The 27,179-nt window shown below is 38.3% G+C and overlaps 1 protein-coding gene across 57 annotated transcripts in view; it reads left to right on the top strand.

The window, feature by feature from the left end:
• The window catches only part of STK33 (serine/threonine kinase 33), a 259,405-nt gene that overhangs the window by 100,852 nt on the left and 131,374 nt on the right, over nt 1-27,179 (top strand). For 6 of the 57 annotated variants that reach the window (XR_007062494.1, NM_001352399.2, NM_001352393.2 and 3 more), the window contains 2 exons: nt 18,311-18,696; nt 20,101-20,214. The exons of 1 other annotated variant lie outside the window; for it this stretch is intronic. Coding sequence is in view for 54 of the 56 variants with exons in the window: in NM_001352399.2 (NP_001339328.1) it covers nt 18,472-18,696; nt 20,101-20,214 (339 nt within the window). In the remaining 2 variants the exon portion in view is untranslated. 50 more of the 57 variants (XM_047427463.1, NM_001289058.2, XM_011520297.3 and 47 more) reach the window with 28 other exon arrangements.

Genomic DNA, 27,179 nt, shown 5'->3' with positions numbered 1-27,179 from the left:
TGTATGTGTCCAGGAATTTATCAATTTTTTCTAGATTTTCTATTTTATTTGCATAGAGATGTTTACAGTATTCTCTGATGGTAGTTTGTATTTCTGTGTCATCGGTGGTGCTATCCCCTTTATCATCTTTATTGTGTCTATTTGATTCTTCTCTGTTTTCTTCTTTATTAGTCTTGCTAGCGGTCCATCAATTGTGTTGATCTTTTCAAAAAACCAGCTCCCAGATTCATTGATTTTTTGAAGGGTTTTTTGTGTCTCTATCTCCTTCAGTTCTGCTCTGATCTTAGTTATTTCTTGCCTTCTGCTAGTTATTGAATTTGTTTGCTCTTGCTTCTCTAGTTCTTTTAATTGTAATGTTAGGGTGTCAATTTTAGATCTTTCCTGCTTTCTCTTGTGGGCATTTAGTGCTATAAGTTTCCCTCTATACACTGCTTTAAATGTGTCCCAGAGATTCTGGTACGTTTTGTCTTCGTTCTCATTGGTTTCAAAGAACATCTTTATTTCTGCCTTCATTTCGTTATTTACCCAGTAGTCATTCAGAAGTAAGTTGTTCAGTTTCCATGCACTTTTCAGGATTTGAGTGAGTTTCTTAATCCTGAGTTCTAATTTGATTGCACTGTCATATGAGAGACAGTTTGTTGTGATTTCTGTTCTTTTACATTTGCTGAGGAGAGCTTTGCTTCCAACTATGTGGTCAATTTTGGAATAAGTGTGATGTGGTGCTGAGAAGAATGTATATTCTGTTGATTTGGGGTGGAGAGTTCTGTAGATGACTATTTAGTTGGCTTGGTGCACAGCTGAGTTCAAGTCCTGGATATCCTTGTTAACTTTCTGTCTCGTTGATCTGTCTAATATTGACAGTGGGGTGTTATAGTCTTCTGTTATTATTGTGTGGGAGTCTAAGTCTCTTTGTAGTTCTCTAATGACTTGCTTTATGAATCTGGGTGCTCTGGTATTGGGTACATATATAATTAGGATAGTTAGCTCTTCTTGTTGAATTGATCCCTTTACCATTATGTAGTGGCCTTCTTTGTCTCTTTTGATCTTTGTTGGTTTAAAGTCTGTTTTATCAGAGACTAGGATTGCAACCCCTGCTTTTTTTTTTGTTTTCCATTTGCTTGGTAGATCTTCCTCCATCCCTTTATTTTGAGCCTATGTGTGTCTCTGCACGTGAGATGGGTTTCCTGAATACAGCACACTGATGGGTCTTGACTCTTTATCTCATTGGCCAGTCTGTGTCTTTTAATTGGGGCATTTAGCCCATTTACATTTAAGGTTAATATTGTTATGTGTGAATTAGATCCTGTCATTATGATGTTAGCTGGTTATTTTGCCTGTTAGTTGATGCAGTTTCTTCCTAGCATTGATGGTCTTTACAATTTGGCGTGTTTTTGCAGTGGCTGGTACTGGTTGTTCCTTTCCGTGTTTGGTGCTTCCTTCAGGAGCTCTTTTAGGGCAGGCCTGGTGGTGACAAAATCTCTCAGCATTTGCTTGTCTAGAAAGGATTTTATTTCCTCTTCACTTGTGAAGCTTAGTTGGCTGGATATGAAATTCTGGGTTGAAAATTCTTTTCTTTAAGAATGTTGAATATTGGCTCTCACTCTCTTCTGGCTTGTAGAGTTTCTGCTGAGAGATCTGCTGTTAGTCTGATGGGCTTCCCTTTGTGAGTAACCTGACCTTTCTCTCTGGCTGCCCTTAACATTGTTTTCCTTCAATTCAATCTTGGTAAATCTGACAATTATGTGTCTTGGGGTTGCTCTTCTCAAGGAATATCTTTATGGTGTTCTCTGTATTTCCTGAATTTGAATGTTGGCCTGCCTTGCTAGGTTGGGGAAATTCTCCTGGATAATATCCTGAAGAGTGTTTTCCAACTTGGTTCCATTCTCCCTGTCACTTTCAGTTTCACCAATCAAACGTAGATTTGGTCTTTTCACCTAGTCCCATATTTCTTGGAGGCTTTGTTCATTTCTGTTTACTCTTTTTTCTCTAAACTTCTCCTCTTGCTTTATTTCATTCATTTGATCTTCAGTCACTGATACCCTTTCTTCCACTTGATCAAATCGGCTACTGAAGCTTGTACATGCATCATGTAGTTCTTGCGCCATGGTTTTCAGCTCCATCAGGTCATTTAAGTTCTTTTCTACACTGTTTATTCTAGTTAGCTATTCGTCTAATCTTTTTTCAAGGTTTTTAGCTTCCTTGCGATAGGTTCAAACATCCTCATTTAGCTTGGAGAAGTTTCTTATTCCTGACCTTCTGAAGCCTACTTCTGTCAACTTGTCAAAATCATTGTCTGTCCAGCTTTGTTCTGTTACTGGCGAGGAGCTGCAATCCTTTGGAGGAGAAGAGGTGCTCTGGTTTTTAGAATTTTCAGCTTTTCTATTCTGGTTTCTCCCCATCTTTGTGGTTTTTATCTACCTTTGGTCTTTGATGTTGGTGACCTACAGATGGGGTTTTGGTGTGGATATCCTTTTTGTTGATGTTGATCCTATTCCTTTCCGTTTGTTGGTTTTCCTTTTAACAGTCAGATCCCTTAGCTGCAGGTGTGTTGGAGTTTGCTGGAGGTCTACTCCAGACCGTGTTTCCCTGGGGATCACCAGCAGAGGCTGCAGAACAACAAAGATTGCAGAACAGCAAATATTTCTGCCTGATCCTTCTGGAAGCTTTGTTCCAGAGGGGCACCTGCCTGTATGAGGTGTCAATCAGCCCCCTACTGGAAGGTGTCTCCAGTTAGGCTACACAGGGGTCAGGGACCCACTTGAGGAGGTAGTCTGTCCGTTCTCAGAGCTCAAACACCATGCTGGGAGAACCACTGCTCTCTTCACAGCTGTGAGACGGGGACGTTTAAGTCTGCAGAAGTTTCTGCTGCCTTTTCTTCAGTTATGCCCTGCCCCCAGACGTGGAGTCTACAGAGGCAGCAGGCCTTGGTGAGCTGTGGTGCGCTCTGCCCAGTTCAAGCTTCCCTGACTGCTTTGTTTACCTACTCAAGCCTCAGCAATGGTGGACGCCCCTCCCCCTGCCAGGTTGCTGCCTCACAGATCCTTCTCAGACTGCTGTGCTGGCAGTGAGCAAGGCTCCATAGGCGTAGGACCTATCCAGCCATGCAGGGGATATAATCTCCTGGTGTGCCGTTTGCTAAGACCATTGGAAAAGTACAGTATTTAGGCAGGAGTGTCCTGTTTTTCCAGGTATGGTCTGTCACAGTTTCCCTTGGCTAGGAAAGGGAAATCCCTCGACCCCTGCACTTCCTGGGTGAGGCAACGCCTCGCCCTGCTTCGGCTCGCCCTCCATGGGCTGCACCCACTGTCCAACCCATCCCAATGAGATGAACCAGGTACCTCAGTTGGAAATGCAGAAATCACCCATCTTCTGCGTTGATCACAGTGGGAGCTGTAGACCAGAGCTGTTCCTATTCGGCCATCTTGGAATGGGATCCTGTGTTGTTTTTTTTTAATTGTTTACTTTTTGTCCCTCAAACTAGCTAATCTCAATCAATCTTCAGGTTTACTATTTCTTCTGCCTGCTCAAAACTGCAGTTGAGCCGCTGTAGTGAAGTTTTCATTTTAGTTATTATGCTTTTTAACTCCAGAATTGCTATTTAATTTAAAAAAATAATTTATGTATCACTAAGGTTTGAATGTGTCTCCCAAAAGTTTATGTGCTGGAAAGTTAATTGTCATTGTAACAGTATTAAGAGTTAGGACCTTTAAGAGGTGATTAGGTCATAAGAGCTCTGCCCTCATGAATATATTAATGCTATTATCATGGTTTAGTTATTACAGCCTTGGGGCTCCTGATAAAATGATGAGTTTGGCCTGGTTTCCTCACTCTCTCTTGCATGCTTGCTTACCATGTGATGCCTTCCACCATGAGATGATATTCACCAGGTGCTAGTGCCATGCTCTTCGACTTCCTAGTCTCTAGAACCATGAGCCAAATAAGCTTCTGTTCTTTAGAAATTATTCAGCCTGTGGTATTCTGTTATAGCAGCAGAAAATGGACTAAAACATATATATTTATTGATCATCTATATTTGGTGTAATATAATATATTTATACCTTTATACTTTCTTTTAGTTCTTTTCTTTTCTTTCTTTTTTTTTTTCTTTTTTTTTTTTTTGGAGATAGCTTCTTGCTTTGTCACCCAAGCTGGAGTGTAGTAGTGTGATCATAGCTCACTGAAGCCTCAAACTCCTGAGCTCAAGTAATCCTCCCACCTTAGTCTCCCAAGTAGCTCAGACCATATGTGCATGCCACCATGCCTGGCTGATTCTTTACATTACTAGAGATAGGGTCTAGCTCTGTTGCCAAGGCTGGTCTTGAACTCCTGGGATCAAGCAGTTCTTCCCCCTCAGCTTCCCAAAGTGCTGGGTTTATAGGCGTGAGCCACCATGCCCAGCCTCTTTTAGTTCTTTAGACATGGTTTCTTTCAGCACTTTGAACATATTTAAAACGGTTCATTTAAAGTCTTTGTCTAGTAAGTTCAACATTTGGGCCTCCTTAGGGCAGTTTCCACTGATTACTTTGTTTTCCTTCTGTATGGGCCATGTTTGCTTGTTTTCTTTCCCATATCTCATAATTTTTTGTTGAAAATTGGACATTTTATATGTGGCAACTCTGGAAATAAGATACTCTCCCCTCCCCAGGGTGTTTTGTTGCTGCTGGTTGTAGTGGTAGTAGTTTGGTGACCTTTCTGAACTACTTGTCTGAAGACTATAATCTATATTGTTTGTGACCATTGAAGTGTCTACTTGTTTATCTTGGTGGTCAGCTAATGATTGGAAAAGATTTCCTCCAATGCCTAGAAGCAATAAATCACCCATTCTTTGCCAAGGAACTCTACGTGCATGTTGGGCTACACTTGCAACACTAAGCAAGGTGGTTGACAACTTACCTTAGCCTTCACTTCCTGCTTGTGCAGAGCTTCCAGGTCAGCCAGAGATTAGAGTTTAGGAGCTTCTCAAGTCTTTCCTGTGCATGCATATAGCCCTATGTGTGTGTGTAGCTTCCTAGATTCCTAGGAATATGTTGGAGTTTTTCAAAGCCCCTACAGAGATCTAATTTTCCAGCTTTTTCTTTTAAACTTTTTGGTTAGTCTGTTGTTGCTCCAAGTGTTATCAACTGCCTTGGGCAACTGTGAAGTTAAAACACCTGCTTGTAATTATTTTCAACAATTACAAATCCCTGGGAAGGAGGCATTTTGTACTGGCAAGCCCTGAGTTAGGCCAAATACAGACTGACTTATAAGTGGGTTATTCCAGGGAACCACTAGATGGTAAAATAATGACAGTTCTTGGGAATGAACATTTGAAAGAGCCCTAGCTCCATTTTCCTTTCTCCAGTAGCTGTTAAGCTGCACCAGGATTGTGGGTTATTACTTTTCACGATTATTTTTATTGTGGAGATAAGGGAGTCAGAGATGGGACTAAGGCAAGTTAAAATGCCACGAAGCTTGTTGTTCTTACTGATATTCATTCATTCACACATGCATGCTTTTTGGGTTACTGCAAGCCTTTAGTTAATATCTAGAGTTATGAAAAAGTTTATTCTGATTTTTTTTGCCATTTTTTCATTGCTTTTGTGGATGAGAAAAATTTTGGAGATCCTTAATCTGCCATTTTTGCTGATGGTATTCCACAGCTCAACTTTTAAATATAATTTTTTAGTCTTCATCTTATTTGAAAATTTTGAGCCATTTGGCTTTTGACCAATCTTCCCTTCAAGAAATGACCTCCTTGCTGCCTTTATGGACACCGTTTCCATTCTTCAGTCCACTGAAGACTTCCTCTGATTATCCTTTAGAAGTTAATGTTATTCAGAATTCTTTTCTTGGTTCTCTTGTTTCCATTCTACATATCCTTCCTGGATGATCTCACCTATATGCATGACTTCAGGTGCCTTTTCTATGAAGTAACTCTCTTTCTCTCTCTCTCTCTTTTTTTTTTTTTTTTTTTTTGAGACTGGGTCTCACTGTGTCACTCAGGCTGGAGTCCAGTGGCATGATCACAACTCACTGCAGGCTTGACCTCCTGGGCTCAGGTGATCCTCCTATGTCAGCCTCCTGAGTAGCTGGGACTACAGGTGTGTCACCACGCCTAGCTAATTTTTGTACTTTTTGTAGAGACGGGGTCTTGCCATAGTGCCCTGACTGGTCTCAAACTCTTGGGCGCAAGCAGTCCACCAGCCTCTGCCTCCCAAAGTGCTAGGATTACAGTCATGAGCCACTGTGCCCGGCCTCTGTGAAATAACTCTTAAATTCATGTTTTCTACCTAGATTTCTCCTTGTCTCTGGTCCTAAATATCCACTACCTCTTACAACTCCATTTTGGTGTAATTAAGACAAAGCAAACTTGGCACATCCCAAACTGAACTGGTTATTTTACTCCAGATCTGTTCTTCCTCCTGTCTTTACTGTCTCAGTAAATGGCTGCTATCTATCTCAGTTTTCAATGTATTGACTTTTCTCTTTCCCTCATCAGGTCATAACTGATTAGTTACCAAGTTCTATCACTATACATCTTAAATACCTCTAGAATTTGTCTACTTTTCCCATCCCTGATTCTGCTTTCCTAGTTAAGGCCACAATTTCATCTTGCTTAAAACAATTGTAATGATTTGCTGCTTTACATCTCCTGCCTTGTCCTGCCTTCTATACATTCTCTATACTGAAGGTAGAATGTGCTTTCCAAAAAGCACATCTTATTATGTCATTCTCTCACCTGATAAACAGTGACTAACAACATAAACACCATCTCTGCCTTCAGGGAGCTTTGGGTATAGTGAAGGATACAGACAAGGAGGTGACCAAGTACAATTCAGAGTATGATATAGTAAGTGTACATAGGAGAGGCAGAGACTCAACCAAGACTCAAGATTTTAAGAGAATTTCAGGGGAGATGATGTCTAAGCTAAGATTTGCAGGAAGAGTAGGAATTATACAGATGAAGAGAGGAATGGGAAAGAGTGTTCCAGGCTGAGAGTACACATAAGAAGGCCTAGAGAAAGCACTGGATTCCAGGAAATGAAAGAAGTTCTGTATGTTGGCAAATTTTGTTAAGGAAGTAGTATGAGTTAAGCCTGAAGAAGTAAGCTGAGACCATATCACACAGGCTCCTGTATGTCATGTTAAGGGATCACTTTAATCTCAGTGCTTTTGGGAGCCACTGAAGTGGTTTTTGTTGGGAAGAAATATGATCAGATTTGCATATTAGAAAGAGTATTCTGGCTAGAGTATGGAGAAAGCTTTGAGAGTATGGAGATCAGATGGCTTAGTTGGAGTCAGGTTGACCAGTTAGGAAACTCTTGCAGTAATCCAGGCAAGAGATGATAGTGGTGTGGACTAGGATTGTGATATTTGGAATAGAGAAAACTGATGGATTTGAGAAGTGTTTTAGAAATAGAATGGACTTGTCAATGTTGAATGTGGAGACTGAGGGAGAGGGAGAAGCTAAACAAAATTGTTTGCATTATTTAGTTAATAAAGCTATCTATTTCAATAGCTATTTAGAACATAAAGCTATTATATGTTTTCAAGTATGTACATATATTACTGACGAGAAAGTAGTGTTTTGTAGTTTTCTTTGAAAAATTATGCCTGATGTAAGTCTAATGACTTAAGCTCCACTAAGTAGAGTTTACTGTTCATTTGGCAAAAGCTATACAGCCAATGACTGAGTCAACTTATTTATTTCTGTGAGCCTAGCCTTGTATTTCCTATTGAGATTCAGTGATTAAACTGGTCAACTTTATAGTCAACTTTTTCTTTTCTGTTATAAGCATAAAGCTACATGAAATTGTTGCTGTTAGTTTTCCAAGGCTACACAAAGATGTTTCTACTCTGGACTTTTCACAATAAAGCAACCAATAGAACATTTTTGCAATTTTCTGTTTGTAGTATAGTGGAATATCTGACTAAAGTCCTGCTGATTTTAGGTTCAGTTTGACTTGGTCACTTTTTAATAAGACAAATTTATGTCTACATGACTTTTGTTATCTGGTTAAAAAGTGTGCTTTGAAACAACGTTCTTTGAATTTGAAGGCCTGTGTAAAAGTATATAATTTTATCACTAATACATGAAAAGAGAATCACTTACAATTTTTGCAGAAGAGGTCTGGAAACTCATATTTTTAGACTTTATATTCTTCTGCATGGACTTTTTGGAAATTATAAACTTATAACCTCTACTTCCCAAATTATTCTGGTATTTGTTAAATGGCTATGTGGTTGGATACAGTATTGTTCAACAAAAGTAGCTTTCAGTTTAATTTTAATCAGAATCATCAATGTATTTTTATTTTAGGAAATAAAGGAAAACAATATTATTTTTTCAAATGTTACAGAAGACATTTTTAATCTTCATTTTTAAAGGGACATGATGATTTCCTTTTAGAAGAGAAAAATCCCTTGGCTCCAAAAGAGAAATCCTCTCTCTTCTCAGTTGCCTTTAAAATCTTGAACCTGTCAGTGAAATTGTATAATCTACTAATAACATGCCTAAGGCTTATTGCCTTTTCTTGGGCAACAGAATCACCAATTGATGTGCTCTATCGATTTTAATCACACTGTTTTTATAGTTCCATTGCAAGGTTTCAAAAACTCACCAAATAAATCTGTGGATACAGATGCCTCCTTTCTCTGAAAACCTAATCATATATATACTATTCCTTCTCAATCAGTTGTTAAGGTATAATATAGTCAAATAATTTTTATTTGATAGACTTTGGTCTTGGCTAAATTAAAATGTTCTCTTTGCTATTCAGCATTTACATATTTAAATTATACAATTCTTATAAATGTGGTATCTGAGTGCCTTGTAGCATTCAGAATTTAGCATGACAAGTTGCTCGTAGGCTATTCCATCAAGACATTCCCACTACAGCTCAGCTGCAAACATCTAGAGCAAGCTCCCGTAGGGTTGTATTTTAAGCTAGCTGTGAGCTAATTATATGGCAATTTGTATCTTAGAATCCATGTAGAACAATATTTGGAGCATTAGGTTGAGAGATTATGACTGCTAAAATAATTTCCTGATGCTGTCATGCATCGGGTTTTGACAGTTGCACAACAGTAATAAAGCCTCCATTTATTAGGAGCTTAAAACATATCAGGACTTTACATACATGATACCTTATCCCTAAAACAAATCTGCCATTCAGATATATACACACCATCTATACATGTTGCATATGTGGGGGCTGAGACAACATAGGTTACTAGGGAGGAATTTGAGTGTTGGTCTGACAGTAAAGCTTGGGTTCTTTCTACTTTAGCATGAGTACAAACATTTCGTTTTAAGTTTGTGTACATGAAAAATAGATGTAAAATTGTCTCAGAAGACTTTTGAGATTTTAATGTTGAATAACTGTTTAGAAACTTGGGGTCTTTAGACTCTCAAATGGTAGAACATTCATGTTCTATTTCTTAAAATTGATATAGCTTTATTGGCAATAGTACTGAATTTGGAGTAGGGGCATTTGTGTGTATATATGTATAAAATAAAGAACTTAATATTTCATTGTGGAAGTTACAGTGAGAAGCATCCTTTGGTATTTTTTGTAATTTTGGCACTCATTAGAAATAAGCCATTTATTCTGTCACGTTGAAACACTGACTATAGTGAATTTGTCACTAAATTTTAATATGTTCGTTCGGCAGTAGATTTTGATTGATTGTACTGGCTGGAGCCTATTCTTGATGCTCTTTAGCTTTACAGTTTATATTTTCAGCAGACATTGATGCCCTGTGCCCCCTCCATTGCAGAGTTTCAATTGCTTGCTGAAGAGTTAGTGTTGAATTTGGTGGCCACTCTCTGTTCACTAAAACCTGTGTCTGATTAGGGTCAGTTTTGGAAGTGCCCACCTAAGACTATTCCATTACAGTAGCCTTTTCTTTTTTGCAGCTCTTCAGTACAAGAGCCTCATGTCCCACTCCACCCCATCCATCTTTTGTGCCTATTCTTCAGTGAAAATACTCTTATTTAACCCGAATCTTTTCTGAAAGTGCTTCTTCTCACTTCTCATCCCAGGAGAGAGACTCGACTTTCTCTCTCCTATTTTTCTTGCCTTCAAATTGAAACCACCTCCTTCCATTCATCTGGAACCACAGGTTCTGGGCCCTTGCATGTGCTGGTGTCTCTACTTGGAGAACCTTTCCTTGACGTGTTCACAGGTGAACTCTAACTCATTCCTTGTGACTTAGTTTGAGTATTACCTTCCCCATGAAACTTTCCCTCAGCAAGTGAGTAATAATGATTTTTAAAGCAATAATATGTGTCAGACAAAGTACTAGAAACTTTACAAGTGTTATATAGTTAGTCCTCACAACAATTACATAAGATAGTTGCTGCTGGCCGGGTGCGTTGGCTCACTTCTGTAATCCCAGCACTTTGGGAGGCCGAGGCAGGCAGATTATGAGGTCAGGAGATCGAAACCATCCTGGCTAACATGGTGAAATCCCCATCTCTACTAAAAATACAAAAAAATTAGCTGGGCGTGGTGGTGGGCGCCTGTAGTCCCAGCTACTCGGGAGGCTGAGGCAGGAGAATGGCGTGAACCCGGGAGGTGGAGCTTGCAGTGAGCCGAGATCACGCCACTGCACTCCAGCCTGGGTGACAGATCGAGACTCTGTCTCAAAAAAATAAATAAATAAATAAATAAAAAATAAAAATAAAAAAGATAGTTACTGCTGTTATCTTTGCTTTACATACAGGGGAACTGAGCTAATAAGGGATAGGAGTAGAATTCAAACCCTGGTATCTCTCATTCTAAAAATTGTATGTGTCCCACTGGATCATGTTACTTCCTGGGCCACTCCATCTTTTGTATCACTTTTATACTTTGTTCATATTTATTATCATTATCGTAATCATTATGAGTGAAACCTATGCCTTCATAATCTCTTTATCCATAATTCAGTCCTTAGTATATCACAGGTATTAAAGTGTGTGCTGGATATATACATAAACTATTAGATGGCTGGATTCTCATTTGGCCTGTTCTCTTGGACCTCTGATGCTCTTTGCTGGACTCCTAACTGCCCTCTAGATGCTCTTACTGGTCAGACTTATAGAAAACTTGCCATTAAGTGCCTTTTCTTATTGGGTAGTTCTGGTGCCACATGCACTCTTCTCTTCTTTCCTGTTTTGCTGAATTTAACAGCCATGGCACATTTATTCCTCAGCTGTGACATTCTAAATGCTTTTGTTCTGGCTACGAGTCTGGGATTTGTGTGCTGTGGATAACTGGCTCATCACTGGGATCAAAGGAAACAGGCTCTCCCAGAAAACAAGCATTCTTACTTGAAATTACGTGGCTGGGGAGCCTGGAAAGTTATCTTATGTCTCACATGAATCTTTTTGGTCTTAGCTATGATTTACACGCTTTATTATGAAAGAAAAACAAACCAGTTATTGTTAGTTACTCTGTCTGCAAAAATATTGATATTTTGTTGAATATGAAGATATTAATAATAATGTTTATTATGACCAATGCCTATAGATGTTGGGGAGTAGGTAAGGCCAGGAGAAGCCCTTGGGTTTGACAATATGGTCCATCACCAAAATAAATACTTATGTGTTTATATCCTTCTAGACTCCTGAAAACCAAAAATGTTGTCTAGAACATAAGATGGGGGTGCAGTTATAGCATCTTGTCTGATAGGAAGCCTTTCAGAATCAGGTGGAAATTTAGCCTGGCTGGAGTCAGGCTAGGTGTAGGGGTTTTGAAGTTTTGCTCTGAAAGGAAAGCTACAAGATGGAGTGAGGACTGCATTATGGTGGAGGTGCAGTTTTTGGCCTTGGAGACTCCACAGATACATTCAGACTTCTTTTACATGTCAGGTCATTGTCTGCCTTATGCTGGGTACTTGCCTTGTTTATTGTATTTGTAAGCTCCAAAACACTGTTTCCATCAATCAGTTAATGACTTTCAGTCAATAATCCTTACTTAATGGACGTCTTTTGCTGGACATAAATGGCAATGTAAATAGGACATGGTTCCTGCCCTGGAGGGGCTCACAGTTCAGAGTAGTTTTTGTTGTTGTTTCTGTTTTATTAAATTAATATTATTTCTGCTAAAACTTGAAGACAGGGATTTTGGAATCTGTTGTTGGTGTTTTGTTGTAGACTGTTTGGAGTTGTCAAGTTTGCAGAGGTCTGGCTATAAGGGGAAAGTTGCCTGGACCCTTCGATTGTGCTTTCAACCCTTGAAAGTGATCTTGAGGATCAGAGTGCCTTTCCTCATGTGGAATGAAACATCCAAGTCAGAATGTTACATCACACATTTCCTCAGCTAACTACCTAGTTTCCTGGAAAGTTGCTGGCTTTGGACAGCTCCTCTCTCTCGGTACTCTTGAGAATGTTTGACGTAGAGGACAGGCACTCTGACTATGGAATTTTACATTAATATATTTATTAGTGAAAAAGTTTTAATTGGTGCTTGATAGTCAAAGCTAGCAGACTTCCCAGATTTACTCTCAAATTCCTGATCTTATTGATCTTTTGCTTATTGGATTAAGATTCCTGAGTATGAGGAGACTATTTTCTTTTCAGCTTCCTGGATGGAGCACAGCAGAGCCTTCCTGTTTGGATCCTTAGAGTGGTTTTACTTCTTCAAGAATCTATTGAATTTTTTGTCTGCCTTAGCTACATGTGGGCCCCCTTGCTCGCTCTTAGACCTATTCTCTGATTTCATGAAGGGGAAGGCGGGATTATTTCCTTTTTCTTACAATATTTTTTCTTCTATTTTTTATCTTTTTCTTTTCTAGGCAGGGCCACTACTTCTCAGCACATCCGGCCTTCTGGCTCATCTCCTCCCTGCATCTCACTACGCCCCTCCCCACTCCAGGGTAAATTCCAATAATGCTGCTCTGTTCCAGATGGAGTTCATGTTGACTGAGGTGAATTTTAGGGCTGTAACTGGTTTGGTCTGATCTGGATCCCCATTATAATATTGAAATCTCTACAGTGGAGGTGAGGAACACTGCCACTTCTGTTCCTTTAAATGTCTGCTACATCTCAGATGATCGTTGGGAGTGATTCATCTTCATATAATTTTAGGGCTAGAAGGAACCTCAATACGTCCTAGTCTGTGCTTAAATTCCCCCATTGCTTCCCTTCTTCCACCTGATGCTCCAGCCTCTACTCAAACACTTGTAGTCCCTGAGATAGTCTTTCCTTTTATCTTTGACAGCTGTAAATGTCAGGAAGCCCTTTATATTAGATGGAAATCGGCACCCACTGTCTCTTCAAATCACGTAGAAGTCTAATCCCATATGCCTAATCCTCTTCAGAAATGTGAAGAGAGCTCTCACATTCCCTTTGAGATATCTCTTCTCCATATGATCCCCTCATTTCTTTGACGACTTTTCCAATATTCCTGCCTGTTTTTCTAACTAAATGATTTGTGATTCTGGCTCTTTTCCACAAAATCAACACTCAAAAATTTTCATTGAGTGCCTATTATGTATAAGGAAGGGCCTGTGCTGGAGAAAGGTCCTTGGCTTCTGGTTGCTTATTTTTTTATTTGTTATTTTTTTTGAGACAGAGTCTTACTCTGTCACCCAGGCTAGAGTGCAGTGGTGCGATCTCAGCTCACTGCAACCTCTGCCTCCTGGGTTCAAACGATTTTCCAACCTCAGCCTCCTGAGTAGCTGGGACTACAGGAGCACACCACCACGACTGGCTAATTTTTGTATTTTTTGTAGAGACGGGGTTTCACCATATTGGCCAGGCTGATCTCGAACTCCTGACTGCAAGTGATCGGCCTGCCTCCGCCTCCCAAAGTGTTGGGGTTATAGGCGTGAACCACTGTGCCTGGCCAGCTTCTGGTTGCTTATAATGGAGAGGGAGAAAAGACTGATATCAACAGGGAAGAATCAGGGAGAGGGTTTCCTGGTTTATCCACTGTCTCTAAACTGCAATTTCTGTTCTCGCTTTTTTTTTTTTTTTGAGACGGAGTCTAGCTCTGTTGCCAGGCTGGAGTGCAGTGGCATGATCTTGGCTCACTGCAATCTCCGCCTTCTGGGTTCAAGCGATTCTCCTGCCTCAGCCTCCCTAGTAGCCGGGATTACAGGTGCATGCCACCACACCCAGCTAATTTTTGTATTTTTAGTAGAGATGGGGTTTCTCTACTAAAACCCCAGGTTGGTCAGGATGTTGGCCAGGATGGTCTCGATCTGACCTTGTGATCCACCCGCCTCAGCCTGCCAAAGTGCTGGGATTACAGGCGTGAGCCACCGCACCCGGCCTCTGTTCTCGCTTTTAACTGTCAGTATAGGGGCCACATTTAAGACTGTCCTTCCGTATTACTGCTTAATCAGTGAGGAACATCATGCAAATTAAAATAGAAAGGAAAAGTTAATAGTAAACATCACTCAAACATTTAAAAAAATTCTGAAATAATGTGAATTTTAAATATACTGTAAATCCTTTTATAAGACAATACAGACTCATTTTCCTAATCATGCCCTTAATGAAAAGAATAAACAAGTGCTAGTCTTCCTTAAAATATAGCAATATCATCTAGAAAACTCACTGGGCCCTTCTTTAGGCTTTGTAAACATGTTACTAAAGCAGTCAGTCATTTGGCTTGGTCTGCAGAATGTCAGACAATTCGTAAGTTTTTTTTTTTTTCCCCTTTACTTGAATAAAACACATTTTGACTGAATTGACTATTTAGGTTTCTTGTAGACACAGTCTTAGCAAAGAAAACTAAAAAAATTGCTTTTGGAGAAGAAAATTATAGCTAGTTATATCTTATAAAACCATTCTTGTGTTCATTTTCTTGAGGAAATTGCTGTAAGTGTATCTTCTAGGGCCAATATGTAAAAGACCTTTTTATGATTAAATTAAAGCCCAGGGATTTTCATTATCAGAATTGTTTTATTGACTTGCCTTAGTTCTAAAAATAAAATGAAAACCTTAAGCCAAAGGAAGGCTCATGTATTAGTTAAGTACTGACATAATTTGAACTTATTTTATTTGCTTATATTATGTCCAGTACCTATGTATGTCCAATCTTTGGAGACACAAAGAAACATTATTGTATTAGAAGATTCTTTGGTTTTTGTAATACATATTTTTATATCTAAAGTCCTGTTTAAACATAATTCCATGATTCTATAGAAAAAGAGCTATTAATCTTTGTGTTTACATAAGTTTGCAATACTTGATTAATTTTAAGCCTCTAAAATATGAGTGACATCATTTGTCCTGTGAAATAGTAGATTTGTTTTAGTAACAAATCTTTCAGATCAATTCGTAAATGAGAAAGAAATAAATGTGAGTAAACATTTGTTCTATCTTGGTTTTTGTTTAAACTAAAATAATTAGAATTCAGCCAGCCAAAAAGAAGTTAAATTTGAAATCTAATTCTTGTCAAGAAATTTTGCATGCAGCTATTCAACCTGTTGTTTTAGAATTGCTGTGGTAAGAAAGTAGAACATTATTTTGGCAAATATAGCACTTGGTAGACTGGAGAGCAAAAATGAAACTTCTCAGTGAGTAATAGAAAGAAATCCTATGCTTTATGCATATAGCTACCAAGTACTTCTAAGGCAACTGATAAATTAGAAGACTGGAGCGAGAAAGTACTCAGAAGTCTGTGACAATGTCAGTGATATGATAATGACTTATTGAAAAATTGATGAAAATTAAAGGAAATGCTTTCTGAACAAAGCTAAGAAAAGAATAGCTGTTTTTAGATCCCCCAAAATCTATCTTAAAATGAAAATTTTAATATTTAAAGATTCCATTGAAAATTTGTGAATATATATATTTGTAAACCTTGAAGGATATGGTAAGTATGCTTTTAGGAGTACTGTTTATCATGAAAGAACTCAGCTGCAGTTAAATAAACCTGTACGTTACGAATACTTCTTACAATTTCTTATAAAAAGTACCATAAAATCAATATTCTTAATGTATGCAAAAAATGATGTTTTACACATCTGACATGGGACTTCTCTACACCTCAGAGAGAAAGCACTATTTTTCCCAAACAGAAAGCCTATCATTTGCAGATCTACTCCACTGCTCTGAGTCATTGATGGTTATGGGTTTTATATTTAACCTGAAATGCAAAACATTTTCTTCTAGGCCTGAAGTTAAATCATTTTGGAAAGTGATACAGGTACATTCTGAATTTTCTTTGTCTTGCTACATATTCTTGAAAAACCAGGTTAAGTGTTTATAAGAGATGTGTATGTGTGTGTGTGTGTGTGTGTGTGTGTGTGTGTGTGTATTTTGAGTGGCATCAGTTGCATTCTTTTCTTCCTCTGCCTGTCTGGAGGGCACTTTTAATGTACCTGTCCTCATACTCTCCATTATGAGTTTTAATCACAATAGAAATTTTTTTCCCACCACTTTGATGAAAGGTCATATTTATTGGGCAGACTTATCTATTCTATTTAATAATCTTATAATATACTATATACATTACCTGGGGTAAATGTAAGTACAGCATTTAGGATTTTAAAATCTATTTACAAATGAGACTGACCTGTAAATCCCCCTTTTGGGGAATACTACTATGGTCAGATTTTGGTTATTTTAAGTGAATAAAATGAACCGGATGGCTTTGCATGCTCTGAAACCATTTATATAAGAATCATCTGTTCAATAAAAGTAGGAGAGGACTCTGCTATGAAACTTCCTGAGTGAAATGATAAGTGGCATGAAGAAAAACAAAGCAAGGTAAGGGGGGAGAGGGCATGGGCTTGTTGTTTTAGATGAGGTGGTTAGGAAAGCCTTTCAAATGAGCAGAAGCCACAGTGAAGCATGGGAGCAGACCGTGTGAATGTTTGAGGGAAGAGCATCCCAGGCAGAGGAAGCAGAAGGGCAAAGCCTTGAGAAGGGAGTATACTTGGCATATTAGAGGAGCAGCAAGAGGCTACTGTATCTGAGAGAAAGGAGATATGAAAGCTGAGAGGTAGTGAAGAGTACGTTTATTTGGGACCGTATAGGCAAAATTCAACAAAATTTCTTTGTCATTTCTGTTTCTTAAGCTTACTCTTTAATTATGTTTTTCTATCTTTTAGATTTGACTGCACACTTAGTATATTTTTATCCTTTCTCCTCTGATTTTAATAAAGGTTTAAGAATATAAATTTTCTTTTAAGTGCAGCTTTGCCTGCATTCTGTTAAGCTTAATGGCCATAAGTCACATGGCTACCCCTAATCTAAAAGAGAAGCCCGGAAATGTAGGATGTTAATGAGCACATTGCTGCCCCAAAGAAGATCAGGATTCTGTTAGTAAGAAAGAATGAGAGGACAACTTTTAGGTAAACTACTAGCAATATCTTTTATAAAATCGTATGAGCCTGGCAGATTTTCCTGCCAATCACAATAGATAAGGATTTGATAAAAGCACAGCTTTCTGATTAGAAAACCAGGTATTTCTTTAATGAAATAAATATATTTAATTTCCTATTCTAGTCAAGTTTATTCCAGTTCAAAGGATAACAGTATATTGCATATATCCCCAGGTTTATCAATCTATGACTACAGAATCTACTTTTAAAGACTGTCTGAAATGGTATAGCATAAAACCATAATAATGTACTCCCAATTACTTCTGGAAGTTTCTCAAAGTACTCCTTTATATGTACTGCAGAGTGTATTTTTCTTCCTCCTCAACTGAGATCTTTCCAACTTGCCACCATGCAGCTGCCAATGGTCCTAGTTAAGTAAAATGCTGCCATACCTATTTTAGACTCAGGGAAAAATAGCACCCACTCATTTTTATTTTTGCTCAATATAAAAATGAGGATACTTATGAGGATACTTAAACTTTTAGGATTAGCTAGTTTTCTAAAAATCGAATTATTCACTCCTTTGTAAAGTATGTAATAGGAATTTGCTCTAATAATCAATAGATTAAGGTTTAAAATTTGAAACCATAGTAATGTATGTTTAACACCAATATTTTAAGCCTTTTTAAAAACCACAACCCACATTAAGAAATACATTTCATACTGTGATCAAGTACACACGCACACACACACTCTATACATATATGTCTGTCCAATTAAAAGTTTCACAGAAATTTCCAAGGAGGTATGCTAAATATTATCTCTTTGATTCTACTTTATTTTTAAAAAGTGGTATCAACCCACAAAATGGATTTCATAACCCACTACGCAGTTTGATAAGATGCTGTTTTAGACCATGCTTTTCACCAGTTTTGTGGTCCTATTTTGTCCTTTTCATGTCTATACAGGATGCTTCTAGTGCTAGTTGCTAGCTTTTCTCTGATTTCCAGGATGGTAATAGGTTAAGAATTTCTCTAAATGGTTATTTCTTTTCTTTCTGCAGCTCTCACGTGTGAATATGTGTCTAGTGCATCCTTAACCTGAGGACTTCACCAGTTCGAAATTACAGTTTTCACCATCAACTACCTTATCCTTTTTGGCCTGGTTTTCTTCCTCAAACAGTGGAAACATTTTTAAAGTTGCTTTTGTTGCAGAGTTAAACAAATGGCTGATAGTGGCTTAGATAAAAAATCCACAAAATGCCCCGACTGTTCATCTGCTTCTCAGAAAGATGTACTTTGTGTATGTTCCAGCAAAACAAGGGTTCCTCCAGTTTTGGTGGTGGAAATGTCACAGACATCAAGCATTGGTAGTGCAGAATCTTTAATTTCACTGGAGAGAAAAAAAGAAAAAAATATCAACAGAGATATAACCTCCAGGAAAGATTTGGTAAATATCAAAGATTCCACATCTAAGCACAAGTTGACATCCCGTTCCCTAATGGTACTCCTAGCTTCATCCATATCCCATGAGTTCTTGTTAGCTAATTCATTGCCTTCATAACTATTAAACATTTCTTTCTCACAGAAGAGGTGAGTAAATTTGGTTAGTAACTTGTTATATGATGTTTCAAACCACTGCCCAAATTAATTATTTCTCAGGACATGAGGTAATTAAACACGTTATACCAACTTCTTTTTTTAATGGTTTATACAGAAATGAATTGGTTTTCAAGTTGAATTAAATCTGAATTTTTGAGTATTTTCTTCAACTGATGGAGAATTAGATTTATAGTTGTGGTTAAGTAAAGGGTAGTTATGGCTTTGTTATTTAAGTTGTGGTTGTCTAGGTGGAATATCAACTATACTTTACAAAATCAGTTTGCATTAGTTACAAATAATCTATGGCTACCCAATTGTACTGATTTCGATGTATTCATCATTTTTTTTTTTTTGAATTGGAGTTTTGCTCTTGTTGCCCTGGCTGGAGTGCAATGGCACAATCTCAGCTCATCACAACCTCTGCCTCCTAGGTTCAAGTGATTTTCCTAGCTCAACCTCCTGAGTAGCTGAGATTACAGGAATGCACCACCATGCCCAGCTAATTTTTTTGTATTTTTAGTAGAGAGGGGGTTTCTCCATGTTGGTCAGGCTGGTCTTGAACTCCCGACCTCAGGTGATCCACCCACCTTGGCCTCCCAAAGTGCTGGGATTACAGGCATGAGCCACCGTGCCCAGCCATATTCATCTTTATATAGAATAGGCAGTGTGTAAGATTGTGGTTGATACAGCACAACTTTGGAGACAGAGCAATAAGCCTAAGAAAAGTCAGGTTCCCATTCCTCAAAATTTTGCCTTCTTCATATGTTCTCCCTTGACTGTTATTTCTGATTTGTATTATCATATAGTTACTGCCATATGGATGTATCTGAGTGAGTTGTTACTATGTTATTTTCACTCAAAGCATATTTTTGAGTGGCCAATAATTTACTTATAAGCTGTTTGATAATGGTTGTTAAATTGTGAAAGGAGAGTGATTGAGAAAGCTATAAAGTTGCTTTCTTTGATTTCAGAGAATCACTAGGTAAGCTTTGATGAATCTGCTATGCTGGTTATCATGTAGACTTTCCTGGATTCAGGGGATTGGATTGAATATCTTCTTAAGGTCTCCTTTAGCCTAATGAGCCAATGAATTGCATAGGGCTTAGAATTTGAAAAAGACAGTAAACAATCTTGTGCATAGTAAACATGGCACACGTTAAAGAGTTATCAGATTATCTAAATTAGGATTCTTTGTCAACAAAGAATATTACATCTTAAAGTTTTTTTTTTTTAATTTTTTTTTTGGTCCCAGCCCTCAAGAACCTCAAATGTAGAGAGAAAAGCATCTCAGCAACAATGGGGTCGGGGCAACTTTACAGAAGGAAAAGTTCCTCACATAAGGATTGAGAATGGAGCTGCTATTGAGGTATATAGAAAGCAAATGAAGCTACTGTGAACTTTCAGGTTTCTTCTAAGTCAATGGTTAATAGGAAAAATGATTGAAAAATAAATCTCTAAGGAAAGGAAGTAAAGAAAAGAGGAAATGTACCATTTTCAAGTATGTTAACATTTTTACTAAAGAAAATACAGATTAATTATCTTCTGTTTATGGAGGACCAAGTGGATTTTAATTAAAGTGGAGAACATTTTCATTAGCTAAAATGAGGATAGTTTCATCTTCAGGTCTTGGCCGTTGCTGAAAGCAATAGTGGAGTCTTTGTTTAGACCTTTTCATGATGCAGAGATGGACCAGGTAATTTTAGTTTGGCTGTTCACTTCCTTGATAGTGAGGCCAGAATCTCCCTCATGAGCTCCTCCATCTTTTCCATCCTGCGATTGGATAAATACCAATACTATTTTTCCAGGATTCAAATTATTATATAAAATAAGAATTAAATGTTAGAACAATAAAAAAATTAAAATGTGTGTTTTTAACATTAAAGAAACTGCAATAAGAACAACCACAACAAGAAGAAAATTGTGTTAATATTACCATTTAAATTGCTTTGGGGCACCACAAATTGCACCCATATAAGATGGTATACTTAATAAATGTATATGTTCTGATTGCTCAGCTGACTGACCACTCTTCATCTCTCTCCCTCTCCTTGGGCCTCCCTAGTCCCTGATACACAAAAATATTGAAATTAGGCCAATTAATAATCCTACAGTGGTTCAAGTGAAAGGGAGAGTTGCATGTCTTTCACTTTAAATCAAAAGCTAGAAATGATCAAGCCTGATGTCAAAACTTGTTTTAAAAGATATTTGGCAACTTACTTGAAATGATTAGAAAAGCTGCCTGGCCTGAAAAACTCTGACACACACACACACAAGTTTACCAAGTTTTAAATTTAGTCTTGGGCCAGGCATGATGGCTCATGCCTGTAATCTCAGCATTTTGAAAGGCTGAGGAAGGAGGATCACTTGAGGCCAAGAGTTTGAGACCAGACTGGGCAACATAGCAAAACTCCTTCTCTAAAAAAATTTTTAAAAAATTAGCAGGATATAGAGGCATTCGGCTGTAGTCCTGGCTACTGTGGGGTGCTGAGATGTGAGTATCACTTGAGCCCAGAAGTTTGAGGCTGCAGTGAGCTATGATCATACCACTGCATTCTAGCCTGGGCGACAGAGTGAGACCTTGTCTCCAAAAACAGTAAAATAAATAAATAATAAATTTAGTCTTAAGAGCTTTTATAAAAGCAAAATATGTTCATTGTGAAAAATTAGGCAAATATAAGTGTGGAGAAAATAAAAATTATCAACCAGATATAACCAATTTAAAAATTATTAACTTCACTTTTTCTATGCATGTACTAGTTTTATTTTATTTTTCTTTAACATTTTTCCTGTTTTAAATTAGAGGATATTTCAAATATATATACATATTTTAAAGAAGTAACTTTAACTTGGTATAGTTGAAGTTGAAGCTTCTATTCCCCCATAAAATATACTCATTTTAAATATTTTAAACATTTCAGAAGAGTATAAAGAAGGAAATTACAAGCATCCACAATTCTATTACCCTTACATAGCTACTATTAATATTTAGATGAACATTTTCACAGATATCCATGTAAGCACCTCCTCACACACACATTGTCATAATGAAATCATATCTTATATGCTTTTCACACTGTACACTATGTCATGGACTTCTTCTGTGTCAGTAAAAATAGATCTACATTATCATTTTAATAACATCCTTACACAATTATTAGAAATAAGAAACTGTTTTCTCCTTCATCACTATGTGTTAATATCAAAGCAGTTAGTTGAAGAAAGTGATTAGTTTGTAAAAAACTAGTTGGCCATTTCTCATTTTAGAATTCCTATTTAAACAGTATTGAATACTGTCTTCAAATTGTGGTTCTATTTAGAGAGAAAATAAAAGTTTAACTTTTAAAGAACAAGAAAAATTGGGGAAGTGGTTATGAAGAGATTATTTTGTAAATGAGAAAAGGGTAAATGACCATTTTAGTTGAGATTTAACTCACTTTACAAAATATAGGCATACTTCATCATATCATGCTTTGATTTATTGCACTCTGCAGATCTTGTGTTTTTTACAAATTTGAAGTTTTGGCAACTGTGTCAAGCAAGTCTGTTGGTGCCATTTTTCCAACAGCATGTGCTCATTTTGTGCCTTTGTGTCACATTTTGGTAATTCTCACAGTATTTCAAACTTTTTCTTCATTATTATATCTGTTGTGATCTGTGATCAGTGATTTTTGATGTTACTATTGTACTTGTTTGGGGGTGTCACAAATTGCACCCATATAAGATGGCAATAAGTGTTGTGTGCATTCTGATTGCTCCAGTGACTGACCATTCTTCCATCTCTCTCCCTCTCCTTGGCCCTTCCTAGTCCCTGAGAGACAATATTAAAATTAGGACAATTAATAACCCTGCAGTGTTTTAAGTGAAAGGAAGAGTCACATGTCTTTCACTTTAAATCGAAAGCCAGAAATGATTAAGCCTAATGAGGAGCGCATGTTGAAAGCCAAGATAGGCTGAAAGCTAGGCCTCTTGCACCATTTAACCAAGTTTTTAAAGAAAAAGAAAATTTGTTGAATGAAATTAAAAGTGCTATTCCAGTGAACACGTGAATGATAAGCAAAACAGCCTTATTGCTGATATGGAGAAAGTTTGATTTTGGAAAAGATCAAACCAAGCACAAGATTCCTTAAGCCAAAGCCTAATCCAGAGCAAGGCCCTGTTTTCAGTTTTGTGAAGGGGAGAGAAGTGAGGACATTGTAGGAGAAAAGCTTGAAGCTAGCACAGATTGGTTCAGGAGGTTTAAAGAAAGTAGCTGTCTCTATAACATAAAAGGTGGAAGCAGCAAGTGCTGATGTAGAAGCTGCAGCAAGTTATCCAGAAGATCTACCTAAGACATTGATAGAAGATGGCTACACTAAACAACAGATTTAAGCCTTAGAAGATGCTAACTAATCCTTTCATAGCTAGAGAGGAGTAATCAATGCTTGGCTTCACAGCCCCAAAGGACAGACTGACTCTCCTGTTAGTGACTAATGAAGCTGGTGACTTTAAGTTGAAGCCACTGCTCATTTATTGTTTTGAAATTCCTAGGGCCTTAAGAAGTTATGCTAAATTTGCTCTGCCTGTGCTCATTAAATAAAACAACAAAGCCTGAATGATAGCACCTTTGCTTACAGCATGGTTTACTGAAATTTTAAGCCCACATTTGAGACCTACTTCTCACAAAAATGTCTTCTTTCCAAATATTACTGCTCATTGACAATGCGCCTGGTCACCCAAGAGCTCTAATGGAGATGTACAAGATGAATGTTGTTTTCATGCCTGCTAACACAACATTCATTCTGTAGCCCATGGATCAAAGAGTGATTTCTGTTTTGTAGCCTTATTATTTAAGAGATAAATTTCATAAGGTTATATCTGCCACAGATAGTGATTCCTCTGATGGATCTGGGCAGATTAAGTTGAAAACCTTTTGGAAAGGATTCATCATTCTGGATGCCATTGAGAACATTTGTGATTCATGAGAGAAGGTCAGAATATCAACACTGATGGAGTCTGGTAAATGTTGATTCCCACCCTCATGGAAGACTTTGAAGGGTTCAAGTCTTAAGTGGATAAAGTAACTATAGATATAATGGAAACAGCAAGAGAACTAGAAGTGGAGCCTGAAGATGGGACTGACTTTTTGCAGTCTCACGATAAAACATGAATGAGTGAAGAATTGCTTCTTATGGATGAGCAAAGAAAGTGATTTCTTGAAATGGAATATACTCCTAGTGAAGATGCTGTGAATATTTTTGAAATGACAACAAAATTTAGAATATCACATAAACTTAGTTGATAAAGCAGTGGCAGGGTTTGAGAGGACTAACTTCAGTTTTGAAAGAAGTTCTGCTGTGAGTAAAATGCTATCAAACAGCATCACATGCTACAGAGAAATATTTTATGAAAGGAAGAGTCAATTGATGCACCAAACTTCATGGTTGTCTTATTTTTAGAAATTGTCACAGCCACTCCAGTCTTCAACCACCACTACCCTAATCAGTCATCAGTCATCTACATGGAGGCAGGACCCTCCACCAGCAAAAAGATTACAATTGCATTGTTATGTTTGTTCGCATTTTTTTTTGCAATGCAGCATTTTAAAATTTTGTGTACATTTTTAGACATAATGCTATTGCAGTTAATAGATTATAATATAGTGTAAACATAACTTTTATATGCTTTATTGCAATTTTTGCTTTATGGTGGTGGTCTGGAACTGAATACACAATATCTCTGAGGTATCTCTGTATACAGTTGAGAGTTGCATATAAATATAAGAATAAAATTATGTTTTGTACTATTTTATAATTAAGTTTTCTGACTTTAATTCTATTATGTGCTATTAAGTGGTATCAAGGAAGAGAGAAGAGCTAGGTTTTTTTAAGAGATACAAAAGAAACAGCACCTTTAGGAGCTTTTAGACCATCTTGGAAGAAAAAAAAATAAGCCAAAAGGTTTGTAAACAAAAAAGCAATAATATTGTTTGAGGACCAATGCATACATGGTGAAAGGAGTAAAAATAACAGAACAGACACAATTGTGTTAAACAAGGAAGCCCTTCATGAAGGAGGTGAGTAATTAGTTGGGCGTTGAATTTTCTGTTACAAAAGAAGGGAATGTAAGCATTAGAAAATACGAAGACAAGCCTCTAATTTACCTGTTGCATGGTGATATGGTTTGGTTTTGTGTCCCCACCCAAATCTCATCTTGTAGCTCCCATAATTCCCATGTGTTGTGGGAGGGACCCTATGGGAGATGATTGAATCATGGGGGCAGGTTTTTCTCATGTTCTCATGATAGTGACTGGATCTCATAGGATGTGATGGTTTTAAAAATGGGAGTTTCTCTGCACAAACTCTGTCTTTGCCTGCTTCCATCCACGTAAGATGTGACTTGCTCCTCCTTGCCTTCTGCCATGATTGTGAGGCCTCCCCAGCCATGTGGAACTGTAAGTCCAATGAACCTCTTTATTTTGTAAATTGCCCAGTCTCGGGTATGTCTTTATCAGCAGTGTGAAAATGGACTAATACAGTAAATTGGTACCAGAAGTGGGGTGCTGCCAAAAAGATGCCCACAAATGTAGAAGTGACTTTTTTTTTTTTTGAGATGGAGTCTTGCTTTGTCACCAGGCTAGAGTGCAGTGGTGCGATCTCAGCTCGCTGCAACCTTCACCTCCTGGGTTCAAGCAATTCGTGTGCCTCAGCCTCCCAAGTAGCTGGGATTATAGGCACAGGCCACCACACCCAGCTAATTTTTGTATTTTTAGTAGACATGGGGTTTCACCATGTTGGCCAGGATGGTCTCGATCTCCTGACCTCGTAATCTGCCTGCCTTGGCCTCCCAAAATACTGGGATTACAGGCATGAGCCACTGCACCCGGCTGGAAGTGACTTTGGAACTGGGTAATAGACAGAGGTTGGAACAGTTTGGAGGGCTCAGAACAAGACAGGAAAATGTGGGACAGTTTGGAGCTCCCTAGAGACTTGTTGAATGTCTTTGAACAAAATGCTGATAATGATATGGATGATGAAATTCAGGCTGAGGTGCTTTCAGATGGAGATGAGGAACTTCTTGGGAACTGGAGCAAAGGTGACTCTTGTTACGTTTTACTAAAGCAACTGGCAGCATTTTGCCCCTGCCTTAGAGATTTGTGGAACTTTAAACTTGAGAGAGATGATTTAGGGTATCTGGTGGAAGAAATTTCTAAGCAGCAAAGCATTCAAGAGGCAACTTGGGTGCTGTTAAAGGCATTCAGTTTTATAAGGGAAGCAGAGCATAAAAATTTGGAAAATTTGCAGCCTGACAATGCAATAGAAAAGAAAATCCCATTTTCTGAGGAGAAATTCAAGCTGGCTGCAGAAATTTGCATAAGCAACCAGGAGGCAAATGTTAATCCCCAAGACAATGAGAAAAATGTCTCCAGGGCATGTCAGAGGTCTTCACAGCAGCCCCTCCCATTACCCAGAGTACTAGGAGGAAAAAGTGGTTTCGTGGGCTGGGCCCAGGATTCTCATGCTGTGTGCAGTCTAGAGACTTGGTGCCCTGCATCCTAGCCACTCCAGCCATGGCTGAAAGGGCCCAACATAGAGCTCGGGCCATGGCCTCAGAGGGTGCAAGCCTCAAGCCTTGGCTGCTTTAATGTGGTGTTGAGTCTGCGAGTGCACAGAAGTGAAGAATTAGGGTTTGGGAACCTCCACATAGATTTCAGAAGATATATGGAAACGCCTGGATGCGCAGGCAGTAGTTTGCTGCAGGGGCAGGATCTTCAGGGAGAACCTCTTCTAGGGCAGTGCAGAAGGGAAATATGGGGTGGGAGCCCCCACACAGAGTCCCTACTGGGGCACTGCCTAGTGGAACTGTGAGAAGAGGGCCACCATTCTCCAGACCCTAGAATAGTAGATCCACCGACAGCTTGCACCATGCACCTGGAAAGGCCACAGACACTTAATGTCAGCCTGTGAAAGCAGCCAGGAGGGAGGCTGTACCTTGCAAAGCTACAGGGACAGAGCTGCCCAAGACTATGGGAACCTACCTCTTGCATCAGCGTGACCTGGATGTGAGACATGGAGTCAAAGGAGGTCATTTTGGAGCTTTAAGATTTGACTGCCCCACTGGATTTTGGACTTGCATTGGGCCTGTAGCCTTTTTGTTTTGGCCAATTTCTCCCATTTGTAATGGCTATATTTACCCAATGCCTATACCCCCATTGTATCTAGGAAGTAACTAACTTGCTTTTGATTTTACGGGCTCATAGGCAGAAGGGACTTACCTTGTCTCAGATGTGGACTTTTGAGTTAATGCTGAAATGAGTTGAGACTTTGGGGGACTGTTGGGAAGGCATGATTGGTT

This window comes from Homo sapiens, chromosome 11 (assembly GCF_000001405.40).
Source record: "Homo sapiens chromosome 11, GRCh38.p14 Primary Assembly".
Lineage (NCBI taxonomy): Eukaryota > Metazoa > Chordata > Mammalia > Primates > Hominidae > Homo > Homo sapiens.
The sequence above is the reverse complement of the archived record's forward strand: the minus strand, read 5'-3'. Positions and strand labels throughout refer to the sequence as shown.